The sequence below is a fragment of the Homo sapiens genome, chromosome 12 (genome assembly GCF_000001405.40).
Source record: "Homo sapiens chromosome 12, GRCh38.p14 Primary Assembly".
In the NCBI taxonomy this organism is placed as follows: domain Eukaryota; kingdom Metazoa; phylum Chordata; class Mammalia; order Primates; family Hominidae; genus Homo; species Homo sapiens.
In genome coordinates, this window is record NC_000012.12 from 59,584,213 (window position 1) to 59,606,508 (window position 22,296).

The 22,296-nt window shown below is 39.2% G+C and overlaps 1 protein-coding gene and 1 pseudogene across 3 annotated transcripts in view, besides 3 other annotated features; one reads left to right on the forward strand and one right to left on the reverse strand.

Annotated features, from left to right (window-relative positions):
* RNU4-20P (RNA, U4 small nuclear 20, pseudogene) lies at nt 2,581–2,731 on the reverse strand (annotated as a pseudogene).
* Nucleotides 11,746–11,815: a silencer, noted in NCBI's record as "silent region_4603". NCBI's record gives its function as "represses an Ori minimal core promoter by ATAC-STARR-seq in GM12878 lymphoblastoid cells {active_cell/tissue: GM12878}" and the evidence as "EXISTENCE:reporter gene assay evidence [ECO:0000049][PMID:35858748]".
* The window catches only part of SLC16A7 (solute carrier family 16 member 7), a 193,813-nt gene continuing 183,333 nt past the window's right edge, over nt 11,817–22,296 (forward strand). For all 3 annotated transcript variants that reach the window (XM_011538989.3, NM_001270623.2, NM_001270622.2), the window contains exon 1: nt 11,817–12,024. The gene's annotated coding sequence lies outside the window, so the exon portion shown is untranslated. The remainder of the gene's footprint in view (nt 12,025–22,296) is intronic.
* Nucleotides 12,286–12,425: an enhancer, noted in NCBI's record as "active region_6574". NCBI's record gives its function as "activates an Ori minimal core promoter by ATAC-STARR-seq in GM12878 lymphoblastoid cells {active_cell/tissue: GM12878}" and the evidence as "EXISTENCE:reporter gene assay evidence [ECO:0000049][PMID:35858748]".
* Nucleotides 12,476–12,625: an enhancer, noted in NCBI's record as "active region_6575". NCBI's record gives its function as "activates an Ori minimal core promoter by ATAC-STARR-seq in GM12878 lymphoblastoid cells {active_cell/tissue: GM12878}" and the evidence as "EXISTENCE:reporter gene assay evidence [ECO:0000049][PMID:35858748]".

Consider the following 22,296-nt stretch of genomic DNA (forward strand, 5'->3'; position numbering starts at 1 on the left):
CTGAATCCAGTTGGTGTAATGACCAGTAGATAACATGGATAAGGTCCTCTCCAGCATCTCCTTTGCTGAAAAGTGCATCCCCTGATCTGATCTGATGTTATGTGAGATAACAAGACAGTGGGTCAAATAAGCTCAGATAATAGTGCTGGCTGAGGTTCTATATGCAGAAAAGGCAAACTCATATGTGAAATACATCTATTCCTATGAGAATGAAATGCTGGCTCTTTCACGATTGAAGGACCCCAATGTAGACAACTTGCTACAAGGTGGTCTATTGGCCTCCTGGAGGAATGGTCCCATATCTGGCCTCGACATTGGTCTCCATTGCAGCAGATTGAATACTTGGCAGAAGGAGTGCCTAGATAAGCCTTGGTAAAAGTCAGGGTCCATGCTTTTGGGTCTATGCATAGCCTCCATTTTTTTTTCCCTCATAGCTGCTTTATATGTGTCCATCATAACTGCGCTGGCATGGCCAATGGAGAAGCTGGCTGACATCAACCTAGTGGTCACTTTGAGTGCTTGCTTGTTTAGCAACTATTCTGTGGTGAATGCTCTCTGGTGGGCACCAACATGTGATATAAACATCTTCACACTTTATGACCACTCACCTACGTTCATCCATATACCTATATTCCAGACATCTTTGTCCCCATTCTCCCTATCCTTTACACTCCAGGCCTCTGACCAGCAGCCAGATCATTTGTTACTGCCTATGAGTTTGTTCATATCCTAACCTGAGACCACATCTTTTTTCACGCAATGTGCATTACAAGGTACACCATCTGAAGCTCTTCCCCTTAGCAAGATCTTTCTTCACCTCTGTTTTTTAAGGCTACCCGTGGATAAGGCTGCAGTGCAGCTGTTTATGCTGAACTGATCCATACATAAAACAAATTTTGCCTTTTTATCTCCTCCTTGATGGCTGTATGGGATCCCTCATATAGCTGTATATGTGGCTAGGGGAGGTGTGCTGGTGCAGTAGTTGTGGGTGCCATGGGAGTCTGAGCTAAATGCTCATGTTACTTTCTTGTACCCGCTGGTGCTACTCATGCTTGATCCCACATGCACCATTGCCATTTTATAATGGATCATTGCTGGATCTGCCTGTGATTTGGTGGGGTTGACAGGATCCAGCTGATAACTGGCAATAACCTGGCCATGCTCATTTGATATCAGACACTCATTCTTTCCCAGGGCCCAGTAGCCAGTAGTTTTTCAAAAGGTATGAGACACTATGTTGCAAATGGCATGGTCTTGAAGCCCAGGGAGGTTTTAATGTGATTGTCTCACTAGTAATCACATTAATGCTCCCTCAGGTTCAGGAACATGCCATTTAAATAATTTCCATTATCTAAAAATAAACTTTTTTATTCTTCAGAGTATTTTTAGTTCAAGTTCTAGTAGTAAAGGTGTTTCTCGTTAAATGGGCCTCTGACCAGCAGCCTGGTCATTTACTACTGCCTATAAGTTAGTATATATCACTGAGTATTTCCACAAAGCCCACGTGATACAATTTATATATATATATACACACACACACACAATCCAACAGACCCTATGTTGTTGGTGGTAATCAGTGGTATATAAGTATAATTACCACTGCAAAATGTACTAATTATCTAATAATAAACTCTCTCTCTCTATATATAGTTACCACTGATTACCACCGACAACATAGGGCCTGTTGGATTGTGTTTCTCAGCAGGCAAGGGTGCTTACATTATAAGGACTTTTCTTCCTCTGAACAACACTGAAAGATGGCAGCTTTTCACCTAACTTAGTGTATGAGCTAGGGCAGTATTTGTAGGTTTGAAATATGCTACCAATAAATGCAAAGAGGTTAATAGACAATATACTTCCTTTTACAAGGTAGGAGGTGCAAAGTGTAATAATGTATCTTTACTTTGGAGGGGCTATTCTGACACACCCTGCACTATTGAATCCCTAAAAATTGTACAGAAGTGGAAGATTTCTAAGCTTCACTATTTTACCTCCCACCCACAGGAGTGATGTGTCTTTCTAAGAACTCCAGTGTGTTAGGCACCTCTCTCTCAATGGGTCTAGTAAATATCGTGCTACCAGTGTAATGGGTCACTGTGATGTTCTGTGAGAGGTCCATATAGTCAGATCTCTTCATACTATATCATGTGAGAGAAAAGGAAAATTAGGAAATCCTTGAAGAAAAACTCTAAATGTATTGTTATTATTTTTGGTTGATTCCATATGAAAGCAAACTGGCTCTCATCTTTCCTTTCTCATTGGTATAGAAAGGAATGCATTCACCCAATTAATGACTCCATGATACGTACTTGAGGGTATGTTTATATTTATCTGCTTAAACAAAGATACCATTTCTGGCATGGCAGTGGCAATCAGAGCTACTACTTGGTTGAGTTTGTGGTAGTTTACAATTGTCTTTCAGAAATTATTTATTTTCTATAGAAGCCAGTTTGTGAATTAAAATATCATCAGACTACCACTCCTGCTTCCTTTAAGGGTGGCACTAATCTCCTGAGAGTCCCCCTTTTCCCTAATATGTGACTTTGTTTTTTTGTTTTGTTTTGTTTTGTTTTTGTTCAGTCTCCTTAAAGACTGTCAATAATTACCAATACTTGAAATATATGACTATATTTCAAGTCATCATGGCAGGATATTGTGAAAAGACTTCAATTAGCAATAATTGTGCCTCGGATAAACCTCATTGACTATGATACTACTACTGTGCAGGGTGACTTAAGTTCAGAGGCTTGGCTTTTGTACTATAATATCTTTTACCACAGAGACCAAGAATTCTGTATGGGGGTTGCTCCAACTTTACAGTTGCCAACAACCGAATGTTTGTGTCCCCTCAAAATTCACATGTTGAAACTCTAACTTATGATGTGATGGTATTTTGAGATGGGGCCTTTGGATGGTAATTAGGTTTAGATGAGGTCATGAGGGTGGAATCCTCCTGATGGAATTCCTTTTATAAAAGTAAATAAGAGAGCTAGAAAGCTATCTCCCTGACATGTGAGGACACAGCAAGATGGTCACCTGTAAACCAGGCAGAGGCTGTTGCCAAGAACCTGCTCATGCTGGCTCCTTGATCTTTGACTTCCAGTTTCCAGAACTGTGAAAAATAAATGTTGTTTAAGCCACCCAGTGTATCGTATTCTGTTATGGCAGAAGAAGAGATGCAGCTGAAGAAAAAGTCAGAGAAGTTTGAAATATGAGAAGATGCCAGGCTCTGTTGCTTTTTGAAGATGAAGGGGCAATGTGACAAGGAACTCCGGTGACCTTAAGGAGCTGAAAGTTTCCCAGCTGACATCTGCCAAGGACATGGGGACCTCAGCCCTACAATTGCAAGGGCCTGAGTACTGCCGGCAACCTGAAAGAACTTGGAAGATTTTCCCCCAGATTGTGAGACCCAGAGCAAAGGAACCACCAAGTCATTCAGAATTTTGACTTACAAAACAGTGAATTCATACATTTGTGTTATTTTGAGCCTCAAGTAACTTCTGAGTCTAGGTTAACTTCTACCTCATTCTTACAAGGCTGTCTTTCAGTATGCTACATTTTGGAACACAGCCATCATGCTCTAAGAATCCCAAGCCACATAGAGAAGCCATGTTTAGGTGCCCCAATCAGGAGGCTCAAGTGAACCTGGCCTTACAGTCATTCCTGCCCAAGTATCAGACATATGATTGAAGAAGCCTCTAGGTGACATTAGAGGCTTGTGTTTTTGTGTTCCAGTCTTGCCAGCTGGGGCTTCAGACATTGTGGATCAGAGACAAGCAACACCCGTTCAGGAAACAAAATCTATGAGCATAACATTATTGCTGATTTATACTCCTTTTTAAAACAAACAAATAGTAAGCAGAGCAGAAAGGAAGGAAAAAAAATCTCTTTCAAATAAAAATAGGGATAATCTATTAATTTTTTTAGAGACAGTATTTCACTCTGTCATCCATGCTGGGGTGCAGTGGCATAATCATAGCTCACTGCAGCTTCTAACTCCTGGGTTCCAGTGATCATCCTCCCTCAGCCTTCCAAGTAGCTGGGACTACAGGTGCACACCACCACATGAAACTAATGTTTTTTATTTTTGTAGAGATGGGGTCTTGCTAGGTTGCCCAGGCTGATTCCAAACTGCTGGGTGCAAGGGATCCACCTGCTTTAGCCTCCCAAAATATGGGATTATAGGTGTGAGCCACCACACTCAGCCAAAAGAGGATAATTTTCAAAGATCCCATATCTAGATTGGAAATAAAGATAAAATTCTCTCTAGAATAGTTATGGGGAAGAATTTCAGTCTCAGAGTATAATTGGATTGAATTGCAGAGGAAAATAAATCTTTTTTTAGTGCACTATTTTATAACTGGGTCTGTAGCTGCTATGTGATAAATGCTGCTTCATATAGTTAACCAAAGATAAACATCTAATATTAACGGAATAAGGAATTTATTTAGAGTAATACACCAGTGAAGTGATTAATTTTTCTATAGAAAACTATTTCTGGATTTTGCAATTGTCCAATTTTTCTTTTAAAAAACTATTGAGATGAACTTTTACTATCTTATTTCTGAAGGACTATTTATTTTAGAAATATGTGTATATGTTATATATAATAATATCATCTTTATTTCCTATTAAGCTTTACAATTTACAACTCCATTTACATGGAAAATTTAAATGGAAATGTGCCCACTGTTGGGACCTACTTCTCAGAAAAAAAAGATGCCTTTCAAAATATTACTGCTTATTTACAATGCATCTGGTCACCTGAGAGCTCTGATAGAGATGTAAAGGAGATGAATGTTGTTTTCATAATTGCTAACACACTGTCCATTCTACAGACCATGGATCAAGGAGTCATTTCAACTTTCAAGTCCTATCAATTAAGACATATATTTCATAGGGCTATAGCTGTCACAGATAGTGGCTTCTCTGATGAATATGGGCTAACTAAATTGAAAACCTGGAAAAAATTCACCATTCTAGGTGCCATTAAGAACATAAATGATTCATAGGTAGAGGTCAAAATAGCAACATTAACAGTAGTTTTGAAGAAGTTGATTCTTACCCTCATGGATGACGTTGAGGGGTTCAAGACTTCAGTGGAGGAAGTAACTGCACATGTAGTGGAAACAGCAAGATAACTAGAATTAAAAGTGTAGACTGAAGTTGTGACTGAATTTGCTCATTTTATCATAAGAATCTCATGATAAAACTTGCCAACAGATGAAGAGTTGCTTCTTATGGATAAGTAAAGAAAGTGGTTTCTTGAAATAGAATCTACTCCTGGTGCAGATGCTGTCATCATTGGTGAAATGACAATAAAGGATTTAGAATATTACATAATCTTGGTTGACAAAGCTGCATTAGGGTTTGAGAGGGTTGACTCCAATTTTGAAAGAAGGTCTATTGATCAAATGCCATCAAACAACATCACATGCTATAGAGAAATCTTTCTTGAAAGGAAGACTCAATCAATGCGGCAAAATTCATTTTCAGAAATTGCCACAGCCACCCGAAACTTCAGCAACCACCACCCTGATCAGTCAGCAGCTATCAACCTCAAGCAAGACCTTCCACCAGCAAAAAGATGATGACTCTCTGAAGACTTATATGATGGTTAGCATTTTTTAGAAATACGATAGTTTTTTTTTTATTATACTTTAAGTTTTAGGGTACATGTGCACATTGTGCAGGTTAGTTACATATGTATACATGTGCCATGCTGGTGCGCTGCACCCACTAACTCGTCATCTAGCATTAGGTATATCTCCCAATGCTATCCCTCCCCCCTCCCCCCACCCCACCACAGTCCCCAGAGTGTGATATTCCCCTTCCTGCTGGAGAGGATGTGGAGAAATAGGAACACTTTTACACTGTTGGTGGGACTGTAAACTAGTTCAACCATTGTGGAAGTCAGTGTGGCGATTCCTCAGGGATCTAGAACTAGAAATACCATTTGACCCAGCCATCCCATTACCGGGTATATACCCAAATGACTATAAATCATGCTGCTATAAAGACACATGCACATGTATGTTTATTGCGGCATTATTCACAATAGCAAAGACTTGGAACCAACCCAAATGTCCAACAATGATAGACTGGATTAAGAAAATGTGGCACATATACACCATGGAATACTATGCAGCCATAAAAAATGATGAGTTCATGTCCTTTGTAGGGACATGGATGAAATTGGAAACCATCATTCTCAGTAAACTATTGCAAGAACAAAAAACCAAACACCGCATATTCTCACTCATAGGTGGGAATTGAACAATGAAATATGATAGTTTTAATTAAGGTACATATACTGTTTTCTCAGACATAGGCTATTCCACACTGAATAGACTATGATATAGTGTAAACATAACTATTATATACACTGGAAAACCAAACAATTCATGTGATTCACTTTATGGCTATATTTGCTTTATTCAGGTAGTTTGGAAATGAAAATGCATTATCTCTGAGGTATGCCTGTATAGCAAAACAGCACAAAAATTCCTGCCGGATGGAAAGCAGAAGAAAAGTTCCTGAATGGAAAACAGAATGGCAACATGGCCTTAACTTTGAGCAATGAAACAAAGCAACAGCAGCTGAAAACCCAGTTTACTGAGAAACCTTCCTGCAGTTGAGAATGTTTTGTATGAAACTCTCTTGTGACCTATGAGGTATTATGTTGATGCAAACGATGACTAACCCTTCAAGGACATTCCAGGCACATGGCAAGTAATACAAATATTAAAAATTAAGCGGGTAAATTTATGGTCACATTTTATAAAGCATCCTGATTAACACTGTTCTCCAAAATCTGAGAAGTAAACATTTATTTTTAGTTTAATAGAAAAACACTACATAAATATTTTCTTCATTAGTTATGATTATGCATAAATTCTGTGGATCTTTGCACCCTTGAAGTGCTCGCAAGTATCATTGAATTGTAGAAAGTGAAGCTATTAATAATTATTAAGATCTTAAAGTAAAAACATATGACTCAGAGAGGTTAAGGAACCCAGCAAAGATCAACTGTACAGAAAAAGGCACTAAAGCCTTAGCTTCTTGATAACACATTCAGTCATCATTGATTCATTTCATAAAATATATTAATACTCATTAGCCACCGTTTACAAGATTTCTGCCTGAAAAGTTTACAGTCTATGATGATAACTTTTAATTTAAGTTTCTAATCTTATATGCATTCAAAATAATCAGAATATTTACGTGGTAAAGCATCTATAAAACACCCAGAATCCATTAAGTTTAGTTTACAGATAATAATTGATAAAATGTAAATTTAGAAAAATACCCCAACAAACAAGTTTTTTAATACATAATCCGTTAAGAGATTTTTGGAGCCAAAAAACCCATTTTGTTTTAAACCAAAGATTCTTGTGTGCTATTATTTAAAGGCATACCATACAGCAATGCCAATGCAATTGATTCCCCTTTTATATGCTTTGTTGAATCGGACTAGATTGTCATTCCCCAAAATCCTATGGGAGTTTTTCATAGAAGATATTTCCAAAGTAGCCTATATAGATATACGCAAGATTTAAATCTAGAAGTAGTGGAGATATATTTCTATAGTTTGTATAATCTGTGAAACCAGGTCACAGCAATCATATTCACAGCTGCTAGCCAGCTACAATCTCAACCATAGTATGTTGCCACTTGAAGGCAGGTGTACATTTGTTTTCACCCAAGTTGAGGGGAGCATTGGGACATCTGGTCTTTTGTACTTAGCTATAACAAATCTATTGTGTGTAGTTTATAAACACACACACCCTTAATTTAATCTCACAGTCTTACTCTGAAAAGGCTATTATATGAATTTTGGGGTCATGAGACTATATTTTTAGTTTTGACTTAAGGACACATTAGTGCACTTTCAAAAGTTCAATGTTTCATTGGGGATTTTATGCCTTTATGATTTACAATTTCTTTTTTCGAGACGGAATTTTGCTCTTGCTGCCCAGGCTGGAGTGCAGTGTTGCGATCTTGGCTCACTGCAACCTCTGCCTCCCGGATTCAAGCGATTCTTCTGCCTCAGCCTCCCGAAGTACCTGGGATTACAGGTGCCCACCACCTCACCTGGCTAATTTTTTTTTTTTTTTTTTGTATTTTTAGTTGAGATGGGTTTTCACCATGTTGGCTAGGCTAGTCTTGAACTTCTGACCTCAGGTGATCTACCTGCCTTGGCCTCCCAAAGTGCTGGGATTACAAGCATGAGCCACCACGCCTGGCTGACTTATTGTCTTTTTCAGTAATATCTTATATTGGTCAGAATAGGCTAGGTTTTGTTCCCATGACAAATAGAGCCTGAAATTTCCAAGGCTTAAAACAATGGTCTCTTGCTCACACAAAGTACAGTGCAATTCAAGCAGTCTTTCTTTCTTTTTCAGAGATTCCATTTTGTAGCTAGTTCATCAGAAACATGGTACTATGGCAGGGAAAGGGAGTGATGAAGGAGGTACACTGGGTCTTAACTCCCTTTACCAGAAATTACACATGTCACTTCCATTCATACTGTTTTAGAACTACATAGTTGCATGGTCCCAATATAACTGTAAGGAAAGCCAGGAAGTGTGGAGCCAGGCAGATCATAGATATTGTGAGCACCAATAGCTTCTACCACATATCTGTTGCCTACAGCCACACTGTCATCTCTTTTCTTCATTTGGCAAACGTTACTATTTTCTATCTGCAACGATTTGTGCTGCATGATAGATGATTCTGTTACCCGAAAGGGGTACTGATTCAGACCCCAAGAGAGGGTTCTTGGATTTCATGCAAGAAATAATTTGGGATGAGTCTATAAATGAAAGCAGGAGTACTAGGAAAGTAAAGGAACAAAAAAATGGCTACACCATAGGCAGAGTAGCAGCATGGGCTGCTCCGCTGCTTATACTTATTATTACCTCTTGATTATATGTTAACAAGAGATGGATTATTCATGAGTTTTCTGGGAAAGGGGTGGGAAATTCTGGGAACTGAGGGTTTCTCCCCATTTTAGACCATATGGGGTAACTTCCTGACCTTACCATGGCATTTGTAAACTGTCATGGCACTGGTGGGAATGTCTTTTAGCATGCTAATGCATTGTAATTAGCACATAATGAGGAGTGAGGAGGACCAGAGGTCACTTTCGTCTCCATTTTGGTTTTGGTGGGTTTTAGCTGGCTTCTTTACTGCCGCCTGTTTTATCAGCATGGTCTTTATGACCTGTATCTTGTGCCAACCTCCTATCTTATTCTGTGACTAAGAATGCCTTAATCTCCTGGGAATGCAGCCCAATAAGTCTCAGCCTCATTTTACCCAGGCCTTACTCAAGATGGAGTCACTCTGGTTCAAATGCCTGTGACAATCCCAGAGATGAATAAAATGTCATCTCTACTTTCAAATAGCCTAATATATTGGGGCTACAGAAACAAAAATCATATTATAATATAGTCATATGTGAAGCTGAAACAAAATGCCCCAGATAGAGGCCTAAATCATTTTCTATGGGCAGGATCACAGAGAAAGATGAACTTAACCCTTATTTGTTAACAAAGAATCCTTAAAATGCTATAGAAGTGATGATATATTTGCTGGGCATTAAAGGAGGAAAAAAGGTTTAGACAAGTTTGATATGGAAAAGAGGGCAGTGAATGATAAAAGACAGAAAAATGTGAGAAGATTGTGTATGACTGAGGAATGAAGAAGGGAGAAAGAACCTAAACCACAAGGATGTGGGTATATAGTAAAAGACATGTGGACTTCATGAGTATATATGTGATGTACGTATTCACAGTTTGCTCATCTGTGGAATATGAGTTGCTAGAATGCTAAGTGTATTGCTATTTGTTTTTCCCACTGTTATTTCAGCTTATGAATATAAATCAAGGCAAACATTTTACCAGAGCATTCCAAGTTCTAATCATATGGCTTATTTTTTCCCTAAATTGTATTTTTTTCTCAATTTCTTAACAATATTAAACTGTAAGTCATAGGATAAACTGGCTGAATTTATTCTTAGCTGATTCTCCCTCCTTTCAGATACCTTTCTAGTCCAATCAAATTTTACATAACATACCTAGCTATCACAACAAAGCAATTTAGAAATGAGTTCCCAAATACTAACTCTGTGACAGTAGGTAAATTAGATCCAGAGTTTTAATTGTTGAAAAAACAAGACTTAAAAAGAAGGTTACGATATCATGCTATAAGTAGTGATGTTTGGCATTCAGCAATAGGTTAAACAGGTCAAGAACATGGGACTATAAGAAAAAAACAACAAAAAAGAAAAATCAAAGAGAAGGAAAAGGGAGAATAGGATCAAAATTCAGAAAGCATATGGTCTTTCTTCTTCCTCTTCTTTGACAGGAAATAAAAGTGATGAATGAGCAGGAAAAATATCAATAGCAAACACTCAAGACTATGACCTTGAAATGTGCCTTTATGTTGTTTCTTTTAAATGTTTAACTTTTTTTAATTAAATGAAGTGTTTATAGTCACTGCTAGACATTTCATCATTATCAAAGGCCTATTATGTCTTATACAAATGTCTATTTAAGCATTTTTAGCTTAAAAATATAAAATCCTTTCTGTAATTTTCTGCCTTTTTTTCATTTTCAAATATCATTCTTTCAATAAAATTATCTTCCAGTAATTTTGATGTTATTAATCACGATTATTTTTTCATCTTGTATTATGCCTACCAGCCACTTCATGTATATTATTTCACTTAAATCTTATGAAATCAACACGATTGATATTACTTTTATTTCATAGCTACAGAAATTGAAATTCAAATTTCGTCCATTACAACAGACTAGCTGTGGCAAAGACAATGTGAATTTACCCAAATGACTTAACTCTTTTTATAAATTCGTAAAATGTGAAGAATCATAGAACACACCTTAAAATGATTGTGAAATCAAGGAGGAGAAAGCTAGCTAAACTGGTAGACAAACTGCAATAGGACTTGTCAAGCCAAAACCTACAATTATTCTTTTGGATAGTTTCTTTTTCTCTAAAGTGGCAATTTAACTTAAAGATATTAAAGAAACCCAATCTATGGGGTTACTTAAATGTTCTCTTCCAGCCCTTCCTCTTTCCAGTTTTACCAAGAAGCACATTTTAGACAGGGGAAGAGACCAAACCAATGACAGCAGAATTACCATTATCTCTAGCACTATTCGTTGTCAAATAACTAAATGCTGGTTTGAAGAACTAAGTAATTTGAGAAATTAAAAATGAAAGGAATTATAAATGATTTGAAAAAAAATCCTTCTTATTTTTAATGTTTTTTGGTGCTGTTTTCTATGTCCTTCCTCCTATGGTGTCAATTATATTTTTTTCCGTGAAGTGATTTGGTTGGTGAGTCTAATCTCCAACAGTGCCCTACCTCTTTCTCCCAAAAAGGCCTCAGTTGAAAAATGGCTCAACACTTTCCCTGCAAGCTCACAATGAGGATCTCCTATTCTCCCTGCATTCGGCCAGACTCTTCTTTTTTTGCATGCTTTCCTCTCCCATGCTTGGGTTGCACAGAGCTACCGCACATCTGTCTTCTAGGTCAGGCTACAGAGTACTTCGGATACAGCAAGTTACGACCCATCTGGAAAGACAGATCTACCTGCCTTTTGGCTTTCTTCCTTGGTCAAAACTAAAATCCGAAGTGGAGTGCCCCGAGCGATAGAGAAAGTGCCTATAGCTTTGACAGCCGCTTGGAGCATGCTCAGTCGGTCTCCAGGCACCGGGAGGCGGCTCCCCCCCACCACCCCCCGGGCCGGCCTCCACCGCAGCCTGTCCGGCCCCCACCCCTGGCGCGCGCTCCTCCGCACCCACAAGGGCGTTCAGCAGCCGCGCCTCCCCTTCCCGCCACCGCCTCCTTCTCCGCTGGCTGTGGCGGGCGAGGACACGTCAGGGGCCATAAATAAATAAATAATTCCATTCACCCGTTGACAGCGAGGCGAATCGGCTGCGGTTTGCTGGGAACGGAGGGCTGCAGCGCCCACCCTGCGCCAGAGACCAGATAAAGTAAGTACAGCTGGGGAGGGAGGGGAGAGGAGGAGGAGGAGGAGGAGGTGCCGGCTAAGAGGAGGGCGAGCCTGCGTCTGCGACCCGAGCTGCCCGCGGAGCCGCACGCGTGTGTGCAAATAATGGCCAGCCTGTGACAAACGTGCCAACGCAGAGTTGGCCAGCGAGCCCTTATATAGACAAAAAAATCCCGAAGCGGCCGCGGGAGCAGAGCTCGCGTCAGCCAGTGCGCGCCGACAGCTGCCCGGGAACTGAGGGGGCGCGCGGGGTCCTGGGCAAGGAGCGCCTCGCGTGCTTTCGGCCAGGAGGTGCTCACGCTCTCGGCTTTTACACCGAGACTCAGCGTGGCGCGGTGCACCCCAGTCTCCCTGGCTCACGGGACTCCGAGGGCTGCTTCCAGTGCGGCGTGTCTCTAGTGCGCGCCCCGCCAGCATCCGGCCCCCGAGCCCCCTAGGGTGGCGTGGCTTCATTGCCGCAGAAGGTGGAGGCGGGGGTGGAGTGTGTGGAGAGAACGTCTTCTCTTTGAGCAGATGATCAGGACAGGAAGAGGCTGTGAGGGGAAGACGAAATACCGGGGGATGGGGGGGTTGTCTTTCTTCATTTTTGGTCCCCAGGAAGGATGGCAGGGGTGGAAGCAGATGGAAAACTATATGCGGGCGAGGCCTGAGCCCAGGCAGAAAGGGACCTCTGACTTGGCAAGGGTTCAGGAGGGCCTGAGCCTTCTGGTCTTGCTGGGCCACTGCACCACATTGGGGGCGCCAGGCCCGGTCAGGTGGCGCCACAGGCTGCGAGCCCGCTCACGTGCGAACTGCCTGTTTTCTCAGCGGATGCTGCATCGCGGCGCCCTTCTCCACCCCCTTTTCTCCTCTACTTCCGCGAAAAGGATTGCAGACTGCCTTGGAAAGGGCGGTCGTGCCCAGTGCCACTTTCCCGGTAGGGCTGAGGAGGGACTTCTGTAGTTCCAATTCCAGGGAAATTAAAATTTTACACACACACACACACACACACACACACACACACACACACACACACACGAGACATAGAAGAGGAAACGAGGAGTGGTTTCTCTACAATTGTTTTTTGATTTCCTTTCCTGTATTATTTCGTGTCCTCCTTCCCTCTTGGGTCCCAAAGGAGATGCGGCAGAGGAATAAAATAGCGGACAATGATGAAAGTGATGGGAAAAAGACTGGACCCAGAGGAAAGAGTGACTACTGGATGCCATTTCCTGTCACCCCATGCTTCATGGCTAACCCCAGTCTGAACTCAGAGGGTTGCAAACTTTCCACAGACAGGTTAGCTTGAATGTGTTGTGTTACTGGAACCACAAGCACTAAGTATGCATTTGGTGGAGTGTGGCTGAAAAATGAGAGTTGGGTGGGGACAGCAGAGGGCAAATGAGGGTTGAGCAAAGTGACTAATATTTAGCTCTGGTGAAGCAATCCTAACTCCAGGTTCTACTTCTGACTGAGCAGATTACATTTAAAGCAATCCAAGTGAGGGACTGAATGATCTCAGTGGAAAGGAAAGATTACAACCGTAAGAAACTCAGTGTATTGTGTAACAACTTACAAACTCAGAAACTATTTTTTGCAAATACAACAACAGTTTGCAGTTACATATTACTTTTTTCCCCCCAAGGCATGTTTGAATAATAAGTGATCTGAAATTTTAACATCTGTTTCCCGATGTTCAAATTAGTGTATCCTTCTATAAATGCTCAGTTTATTTCTAGACATTCATTTGCTCTTTGATAATGTCTGGCTTATATTTTTGGCTTTGAGCTCTTTTAAAGGGAAGGAGAGCAACATTACCTAAATAAACCTCCCTTGTCTGGAGTCATATTCCTGGATCACGGATCTGAAATAAAAGGCATCTCCAGAATTTGCTTTTAATTCTGTATTCATCCACCAAACATTTTTGAGACATTCACATGGAAAAAGGGAATTAACTTTAGAACAGATTGGTTCTGCACTTTTGTAAGGTTGAGTAATTGTTTAACAATCTGGGCTTTACCTTTTTCTTGTCTATAAAATGAGATTGGTGGTACCCACTCTGAAGTGATATTGGGAAGAATGAAGTGTGTGGTAAGTACCTAGAATACAGACGGGCTATATTTGAGCCCCTATAATCAGTCTAGACACCCTACCAGGGTTGCCAAGATGAATGAGGCTGTAATTCTGCTTTCAAGAAGTTCTCATATAGTCAGTCATTCAGGTTAATCTTTCTTGTATCCCATTTGCCTTTTAGTCCATTTTTTTTCTCCTCTTGATGGAAGAAACATATATCCAAGTAACTTGAAAGGAACTCCACAGTTGTAAGAAATGTTGGTAAGATCTGCTAAAAGGCAAATTTGAGAAGAATGTCTTTTCTCAGGAACCTGTATTCAGCCCATTTTTTGTCCATTAATAGTGATCCTTAATGAATAAAAACAGGTAATGAAGGATTTTTCTTCATGTTATGAGGGCAGGATGATCCTTCTCTGAAGATTATCTTTGTCAATGAATTGATTTCCATTATTTGAGAGAAGAGTTTGAGTTGCAGTTTCTACTACACCTTGGGCAAACCAATCCACTCACTCCTAAGAGTATAAAGTAACTGTAGTATATAATAACTATAATGACAACTCTGTAATGCTCACCATATTCCAGGCACTGTGCTACTACTGTCTGATAGCATGTAGCAACCATTTGAGGTGGATCTGTCCATATCCATATTTACAGAAAAAAGAATTTATGCCCAGAAAGTTTCATAGCTTATTCAGCTGGTACAGTTAGTAAGTGGTTGAGCTGGGGCAAGCACCGATGCGATCTGTTTGGCTTTAACCACTGTGTCATATAGCTTCTGCCTTGCATGAAGCTAAATAAGAGCAAAGACCTTACCTGTTGTTTTCTCCATAGCCCAGTACAGTGTCTGGCATGTCATGGTTCAGAACAACTGATTATAGAAAGAAGGAAAGAGGGAGGGAAGCAGAACTAGAGGGAAGGAGGAAGAGGAGGAAATAAAAATTAGCAAGTCCAAGTGTCTCCCGCCTTCAACACTGAATCTGGCAGGAAATCCAGCATGAACTCTGCCCTGAGAACACAATAGTTGAGGCTCTTTTGAGGATTCCTTTTCCTTGTCTTGCATCTAATCATCTAGTTTATGATGCTCATTTATGCAGAATAGGAAAATATTCTCTTTGGTTTGACAAATTAGCAAAAGGTGCCCATGAAGTGCAAACATCAAAGAGTGACCTACTCAAGGTGGACCAGGAAAAAAAAAGAAGGAAGAAATTAAAAGGGCAGACCATAATGCAGGGGCACTGGATTTAAATTTTAGTTAAGCCACTGGCTGGCTTTGTCTTATGCAATGTTGTGGTAGTACTTGTATTGTTGTTCTGAACACCAAAGACGATAACAAATATAAGCTGTTTTATACTGTGCCTGATAAATAGAATGGCATGCGGCAAAGAATAATTACATTCTGTTATTGCCCTTTGTTCCCCTCCTCCCTTCAACTCATCCCAAATAAAAAGTACCCTCCTGTTTTCCACATCTTGAAGTAATCTGTGTTCATCTGAACTACTTCGTAACTTGATCTGGGCTTCTCTTAGGCTGATTCTTATATTTTACCTTGAATTACAATTATTTGGGAAGGCATCCTATCTCTCTTCCTGGGCTACATGGTCTTTGAGAGTAGATGGTATATCTGATTCATCTTGGAACCTCTGTGGAGCTGCTGCTTGGGACAGGACAGGGCAGACGAGGGGCTCTGAAGTCCAGCCTGTCTGGGTTTTGATTTTAGCTTTGCCACTTATCAACAAAGACAAGTTGCTAGACCTCTTTAAGTCTCGGTTTCTTCATGTGTAAAAATAGAATAGTAACCAATTTTGTATATTGGTTGTAAACATTAAATGAGATAATATCTGTGAAATAGCACTGTGCTGAGCACATACATAGAAATAACTCAATAACTACTTTTAGGTATTAAATATTTGGCTTTATGTTTTTTAGTTTATCATAAGCATCACTGGCTTATTTTTAACAGATTTTTGGGAACTCTGAAATGCCAAACTTGCCATTAGATGGCACAACAAAGTTGAATTGCATAATAAACCATTAAGTGGACTCCCTTTGAGAAGTCATCCTGGTTTGTCACAGGCTTTCTCAAAACTGTTTGGATCAAAGTGATTAAGAAATATCTTGGGAAACATCTGCACACTAGCTCTCAGTGAATAATGGAACTTTTTTTTTTTTTTAACTTGTGAGAAAGCTTCATTTTCTCAGTTGCTGCTATAAATGGTGAATCCAGGGGCTGAGTCTACCTATGTGAGAGATCCAGCTGTTTAAAATCATAATATGAGAGACTAGCCTAAAATGGACCATTGTCGAGAGGAATAAATAACACTTATCACACGTATTTGGTAATTAGTAAATAAGTGGAGGGTCTTTATATATCAACTGTAATCATTAAAAATGTGGGAGAAAATTAAACAAATTGGAGCTGACTATAATAAAACTAGTCCAGCTGGAGCTGGACTAACTGGGACTTGGGTGCACCATAGACAATTTCAACATATTCACAAATATCAGTGTTGATAAATGAAGCAAGTATTTTTGGAAATAATTTTTCTGACCTAATACTAAAACTCCCGCAAATGTTTTCATTAATACTCATTGAAGTCTCAAAGGACCTCATGAAAATCCTATGGGACAACTGAACGACAGCTACAAGATACTGGCCTAAAGGTACTTTCGTTAAGTTCCACAAAAATGTCTGTATGGTTCAATTATAGAGCCTGGTGATTAGTTTTATGTAATAGTTGGCATTAAAATAGCAACTTTCAATAGAAAATATTTTGTGTAAGTGGTGAACACAAATGAAATATTTGTTTAGATAAATAAAGATCCATATACAGTGTTGGTATTTTGTAGAAAGCATTTTATTATAAGCATTTGCTGTTTCTCCACCTCATAATACAATATGTATCATTATTAATTAGTCAATACCTCTAATCAGATTTCTATTGAAGCTAATATGTAAAAGAATGGTACTTTTTACAAAGCAGCTGCCCTACTAAGTAATTAACTTGAATATCTATATCTTTTTTAACTAGATTAGATAAGAATAAAAAATAAAACTACAAAGCATGCATTTGATAAGTTTCTAAGGGATATTAACATTTATCTTATTTTAAAAATGATTTTCAAAATTTCTAGGATTTGAAGTTCCATCAGTTCTTCTCAAATATGTGAAAGGCAAATTCAGTGATAAATGGCAGTCGGTGACAGTATTTTTCAACAGGTGGGATTATTGGCATTTGGGGTGGGACACTTTTTCATTGTGTAGGACTGTCTCTTTCATTGCAGAGCATTGGGTGTCTGTGACCTTTCTGAGTAAATTTGGGCTGCGATAACAAACTATAGACAGATTAGGTAGCTTATGAACAACAGAAATTTATTTCTCACAGTTCTAGAGGCTGGAAATCTGAGATCAGGGTGCTGGCATGGTCCAGGTGTTGGTGAAGGCCTCTTCTGGGTTGTAGACTGCTGGTTTCTTATATCTTCACATGGTGGGATGAGAGTGAGAGCTCTCTTTTATAAGGGTGCTAATCCCATTCATGAGAGTTCCTTCCTTATGACCTACTTAACTCCCAAAGTCCCCATGTCTTAATACCACTCCTTTGGGGATTAGGACTTCAACATGAATTTTGGAGGCACACATTAAGTCCGTAACAATGATCTATCTCTGTTTTCTATAAGTCAGTGGCTTTCCCTTAGTCATTGTAACAATCAAAAATGCCTCTCTACATTTTAATATACCTGTGGTGGAATGGTGATCCATATGGTTGAAAACTGTCAGCCAATAAGATCAAATTGAGATTGTTTAAACAATTTATTTGGGATCAGAGTACTTTCAGAGTACTTTCAAAATTATTTTGCCTTTCATTAAAGGATGAAAATAATACTCTTGTATAAAAATATTTTGTTTTGAAACAATGAGTTCTTTATTAGTAAGGCATAACAACTGTTAACTTTAATAATCAGAGCATCATTGACCTCCTAGCCTCCAAATTATTTGCTTTGGACTGTTAATAACCTTTGGCAGTATTCATCCCTAATGCTTCTTGAACTCCTGTTTTGGCTTTCATGTGCTCTTTATTTTGTTACTTCTCTCACCGCTCATTTACTGCTTCTTCTCCAGCTCGCCTTTCACCTCGTATTCAATATAAGTATGTCTTCCCCAGTTTGTGTTTTGGGCTTTTTTTTTTTTTTTTTTTTTTGAGACAGGGTTTCACTGCAACACCCAGGCTTGGGTGCAATGACATGAACTTGGCTCACTGCAACCACCACCTCCTGAGTTCAAGTGATTCTCCTGCCCCAGCCTCCTGAGTAGCTGGGACTATAGGCGCCCACCATCACGTCTGGCTAATTTTTTGTATTTTTAGTAGAAATAGGGTTTCACCATATTGGCCAGGCTGGTCTCGAACTCCTGACCTCAAGTGATCTGCCCACCTTGGCCCCCAAAAGTGCTGGAATTACAGACATGAGCCACTGAGCCTGGCCAGACTTTTCTTTAGCCTGCATTCTGTTGATTGACAAAGCTCATCTGCTCTGGACCTCCGCTTTCACCTCAGTAGGAATAACTCCCAAGCCATTTGCTGTAGTCCTGACCTTCCCTCAACTTTTAGGCATTTCCAGACATTTCTAGATGTTTGCAGGACAGCTTCTCTTTACTGTGCTTTTGATACTTCCAGTATCCTGTGGTCTCTTCCTTCCTTTTTGTCTTCTTTCTTTCTGTCACCCCCATTCTTCATATTGATATCAGCAGTATTCTAGCCTAGAAGCTTTTGAGACCACCCTTTCTCTGGACTTGTGTACATCCAAAATAATTTTTTAATTATTTATTTCTATTCTGTTGTTGCCAGAAGTTTCAGGTGCTTTTGACATACTACCTACAGTCATGTAATAGTCTCTTAGTGGGTATTCCCACCTCTGGTCTCTCACCCTACCAGTTAATTCTGTACATGGTATCAGATACTCTCATGGAAGCACACCTTTGTTAAGTAACACTCCCATCACCTAGGTCCAAGGACTGACATTTCAGTCCCTGCATGATGTAAGTCCAAACAGCTGTTCCATGTTCATCTCCCACTACCATCATACTCAACTCAAATGGAACTGTCCTCATGCCTCGTTCATTCTCATTCTACTTCCTACCGCCAAATCTTTGGCCATGCTGTTCTTTTATCTTGAAATGAATCTAACGTCCTACGATTTCTAGCTCTAACCTCACCTTCTAAGAAGTTGAGCTTAAACACCACATACAAATTTTCCTCTGACACCTCTGGATAGGTAGAATAATTTTTCTAAAATTTCAGGAACATTATGTTTATAATGTCTTATTTGACATTGTATAATAGAATGTCTTGACATTCTATTATATTTGATTTTATATAATTATTCAGTTTCTTAATATACTATAAAGTTGTAGATGTCAGGAATAATAATGTATTCATATTTATGTCATCTTTAGCATTTTGGTGGATTATAGAGTTGCAAGAAACTTGGAGGACATCTGTTTCCACTTTTATGTGTTGTTTTCATTATGTTCAATAAACCACCATCTATTATTTAAGTGTACACACTGAGGCAGACTGTTCTTTTAAAGGCAGTTCTACTTGTGACTCAAATTTTCTTGTTTCTACCTAGGGTCTTTGTTCAGCTTCCTGGGGCCACATGAAATGAATCCCTTTCTCATTTGAATGACATACTCTACCAATGTGGTGACAGCTCACATGTCTTTTGTTTTCTCTATCAATTTAACATATTCAGTTTTTCTTCCTGTTTTTTGCATGTGACCTGGTTACATTCTTTATTTAAGGCTGCTGTATTGTGGAGTAATTCAACTTTAGGAAAGTCCACAAATGCATAGAATACTTCAAGGATAACAATGGTTTTGAATGTAAATATTGGAATTGTTTTTCATGATGTAACTTGTCAATATCTCTTCAGGTGTCAGGGTGGGAAATCAAGGTATATATAGCGATCTACCTCTGGGAGAATCCCATAGTTATCTCAGGGCTGAACTTTCCTTTCTGTGCCAACAGTTTAATAAATAAATAAATGAATAAACCACTGGAGGATGATAGGAAAGCTCACTTTAACTTTTGATTGTAATTGGAAATTAGCCACTCAGTAAAATTATACTCTTTTATAGATTAATGCCCTAAGTAGTAAAACAACAAACATGTCTTGTGTGTGTGTGTGTATAATAAGTGAATTTAAGGACATTGGACCAAATAAGTGGCTATTAAGTAAAGTTATAAAGATAAGCTTTAAGTAAGAATAGCTTACATTTGTTGAACACTTCTATATTTAATACCTTACATGTTTTAACTAATTTAATCCTCAAAACCTTATGAGGAAGCATTTTTGTTATCCTCATTTTACAGATGGGCAGAGTAGAGCACAGAGGTGAAGTATTTTGCCCAAGGTTACACATCTTGTCATTGGAAGGGTCTGGATTTTAATCTGTTGAACAAAATGTACCTTTTCAATAGTATTAATTTCAAGTATTTCATGCTGCAGTAAATTTTAAGACATTCTTGGGAAAAGTCCGATAATTTTATTTTTTTTCTTTTTTGAGACGGAGTCTCACTCTGTCACCCAGGCTGGAGTGCAGTGGCACAATCTTGGCTCACTGCCAGCTCTGCGTCCTAGGTTCATGCCATTCTCTCGCCTCAGCCTCCCAAGTAGCTGGGACTACAGGCGCCCGCCACCACGCCCGGCTAATTTTTGTTTTTGTATTCTTAGTAGAGATGGGGTTTCACCATGTTAGCCAGGATGGTATTGATCTCCTGACCTTTTGATCCTCCCACCTCAGCCTCCCAAAGTGCTGGGATTACAGGCAAAGTCTGATAAATATTTTTTCAAACAGAGACTAGTAGTCAGGTATAATGAGTTTGGGTCTGTTACAACATAAAGTCAACAGGAATGATAAGGCTTCCTTACTATTTGAAGGAGTTACCTGGAACCAAGCTAGAAAGCTTAGAGAAAGTAACAACCCCTTGTGGATTCAAGGAGGCTGGAGAACCAGTAGGGACCGAAGGAACAGTAAGTCCAGGATGTCATTCCTATAACTCAGTTTGCAAGGTGGTAGGGATAGAATACGTGGGAGGTGGCAAGACTCCCATGGAAGCCCTGTGCTGTGGGTATCAGTGAGTGCATGAACAGAGTAGGGTCTGGAGAATTCTCATAGATGGGTATATATCAAATTTACAGTGAAGAGGGATTTTGAATAAAGCCTCTGACATATTTTAAGGCATAGAATGCAGTACTTTAACAACTATTTATTCCCCTGCTGTGTTCCAGACACTGTTTTGGATGTTAGAGAGATGGCTGTAAATAGAACAGGTAAGTCCTTTTTAGTCTTGAGTTACACAGATATCAAATATATTCTCAAAGCAAGGTTAAGCAATTTATGTCCTTGAGCCAATTTTTTTTGTAGACCTCTCATGCCATCTTCTCTATGTAGCCAGTCTTATTCTGTAGTTATCTCTTTATTCTCTTTTCCTTTTTTCTCAATCTGTGTCACATGTCAGATCAGAGACTTTGAAGACAGATAGATATAGCCCAATGAAATTTCGACTAAGCTACTTCTAAGCTGTTTGACCACAGTCAAGGTATGTAACTTTTAGAGCCCCAGTTTTCTCATTTTGGAAATAATAAAATTTATTTTATGAGTTGTTGTTGGAGAAATAATGTAGGTAGTCAATAAATGATAATCATCATCATGTCATTTTTATCTCTACCTTTATTTTTGGCATATATTGAGGCAGAACTTCTTTACTCCTGAGGCATTCCATTCTGTACAAAAGTATTTATGAGTTATAATATTGGTACTCCCAGCATGACCCAAGTAGGAAGGTCAGAAAATAAACAAATATTAAAATAATGTGGATCTTTTCAAGATGGATAAAATTCTAGTTTCTGGCACATATATGAGGAGATTCAAGTGCTGATATTGATGCTGCAAAAATGTTTAAGTGGTGAAATTTTCACTTAGTTATAAAGTTAGTAATACCAGTTGGGAATACAACCTAAGGGAATTTTAAGAGGGAAATTCCCTTTAGATGTGATAGCGCACATAAACACACGTAAAAACTACCACAAAGAGCAAGACAATAATCATTCTGTTATAATGACTTAGAGATATTTGTTCCAATTAAAACACATGCCAACATAATTATTGATGTCATTTAAGTGTCTTCTGTGTGTTTGCTGTTTT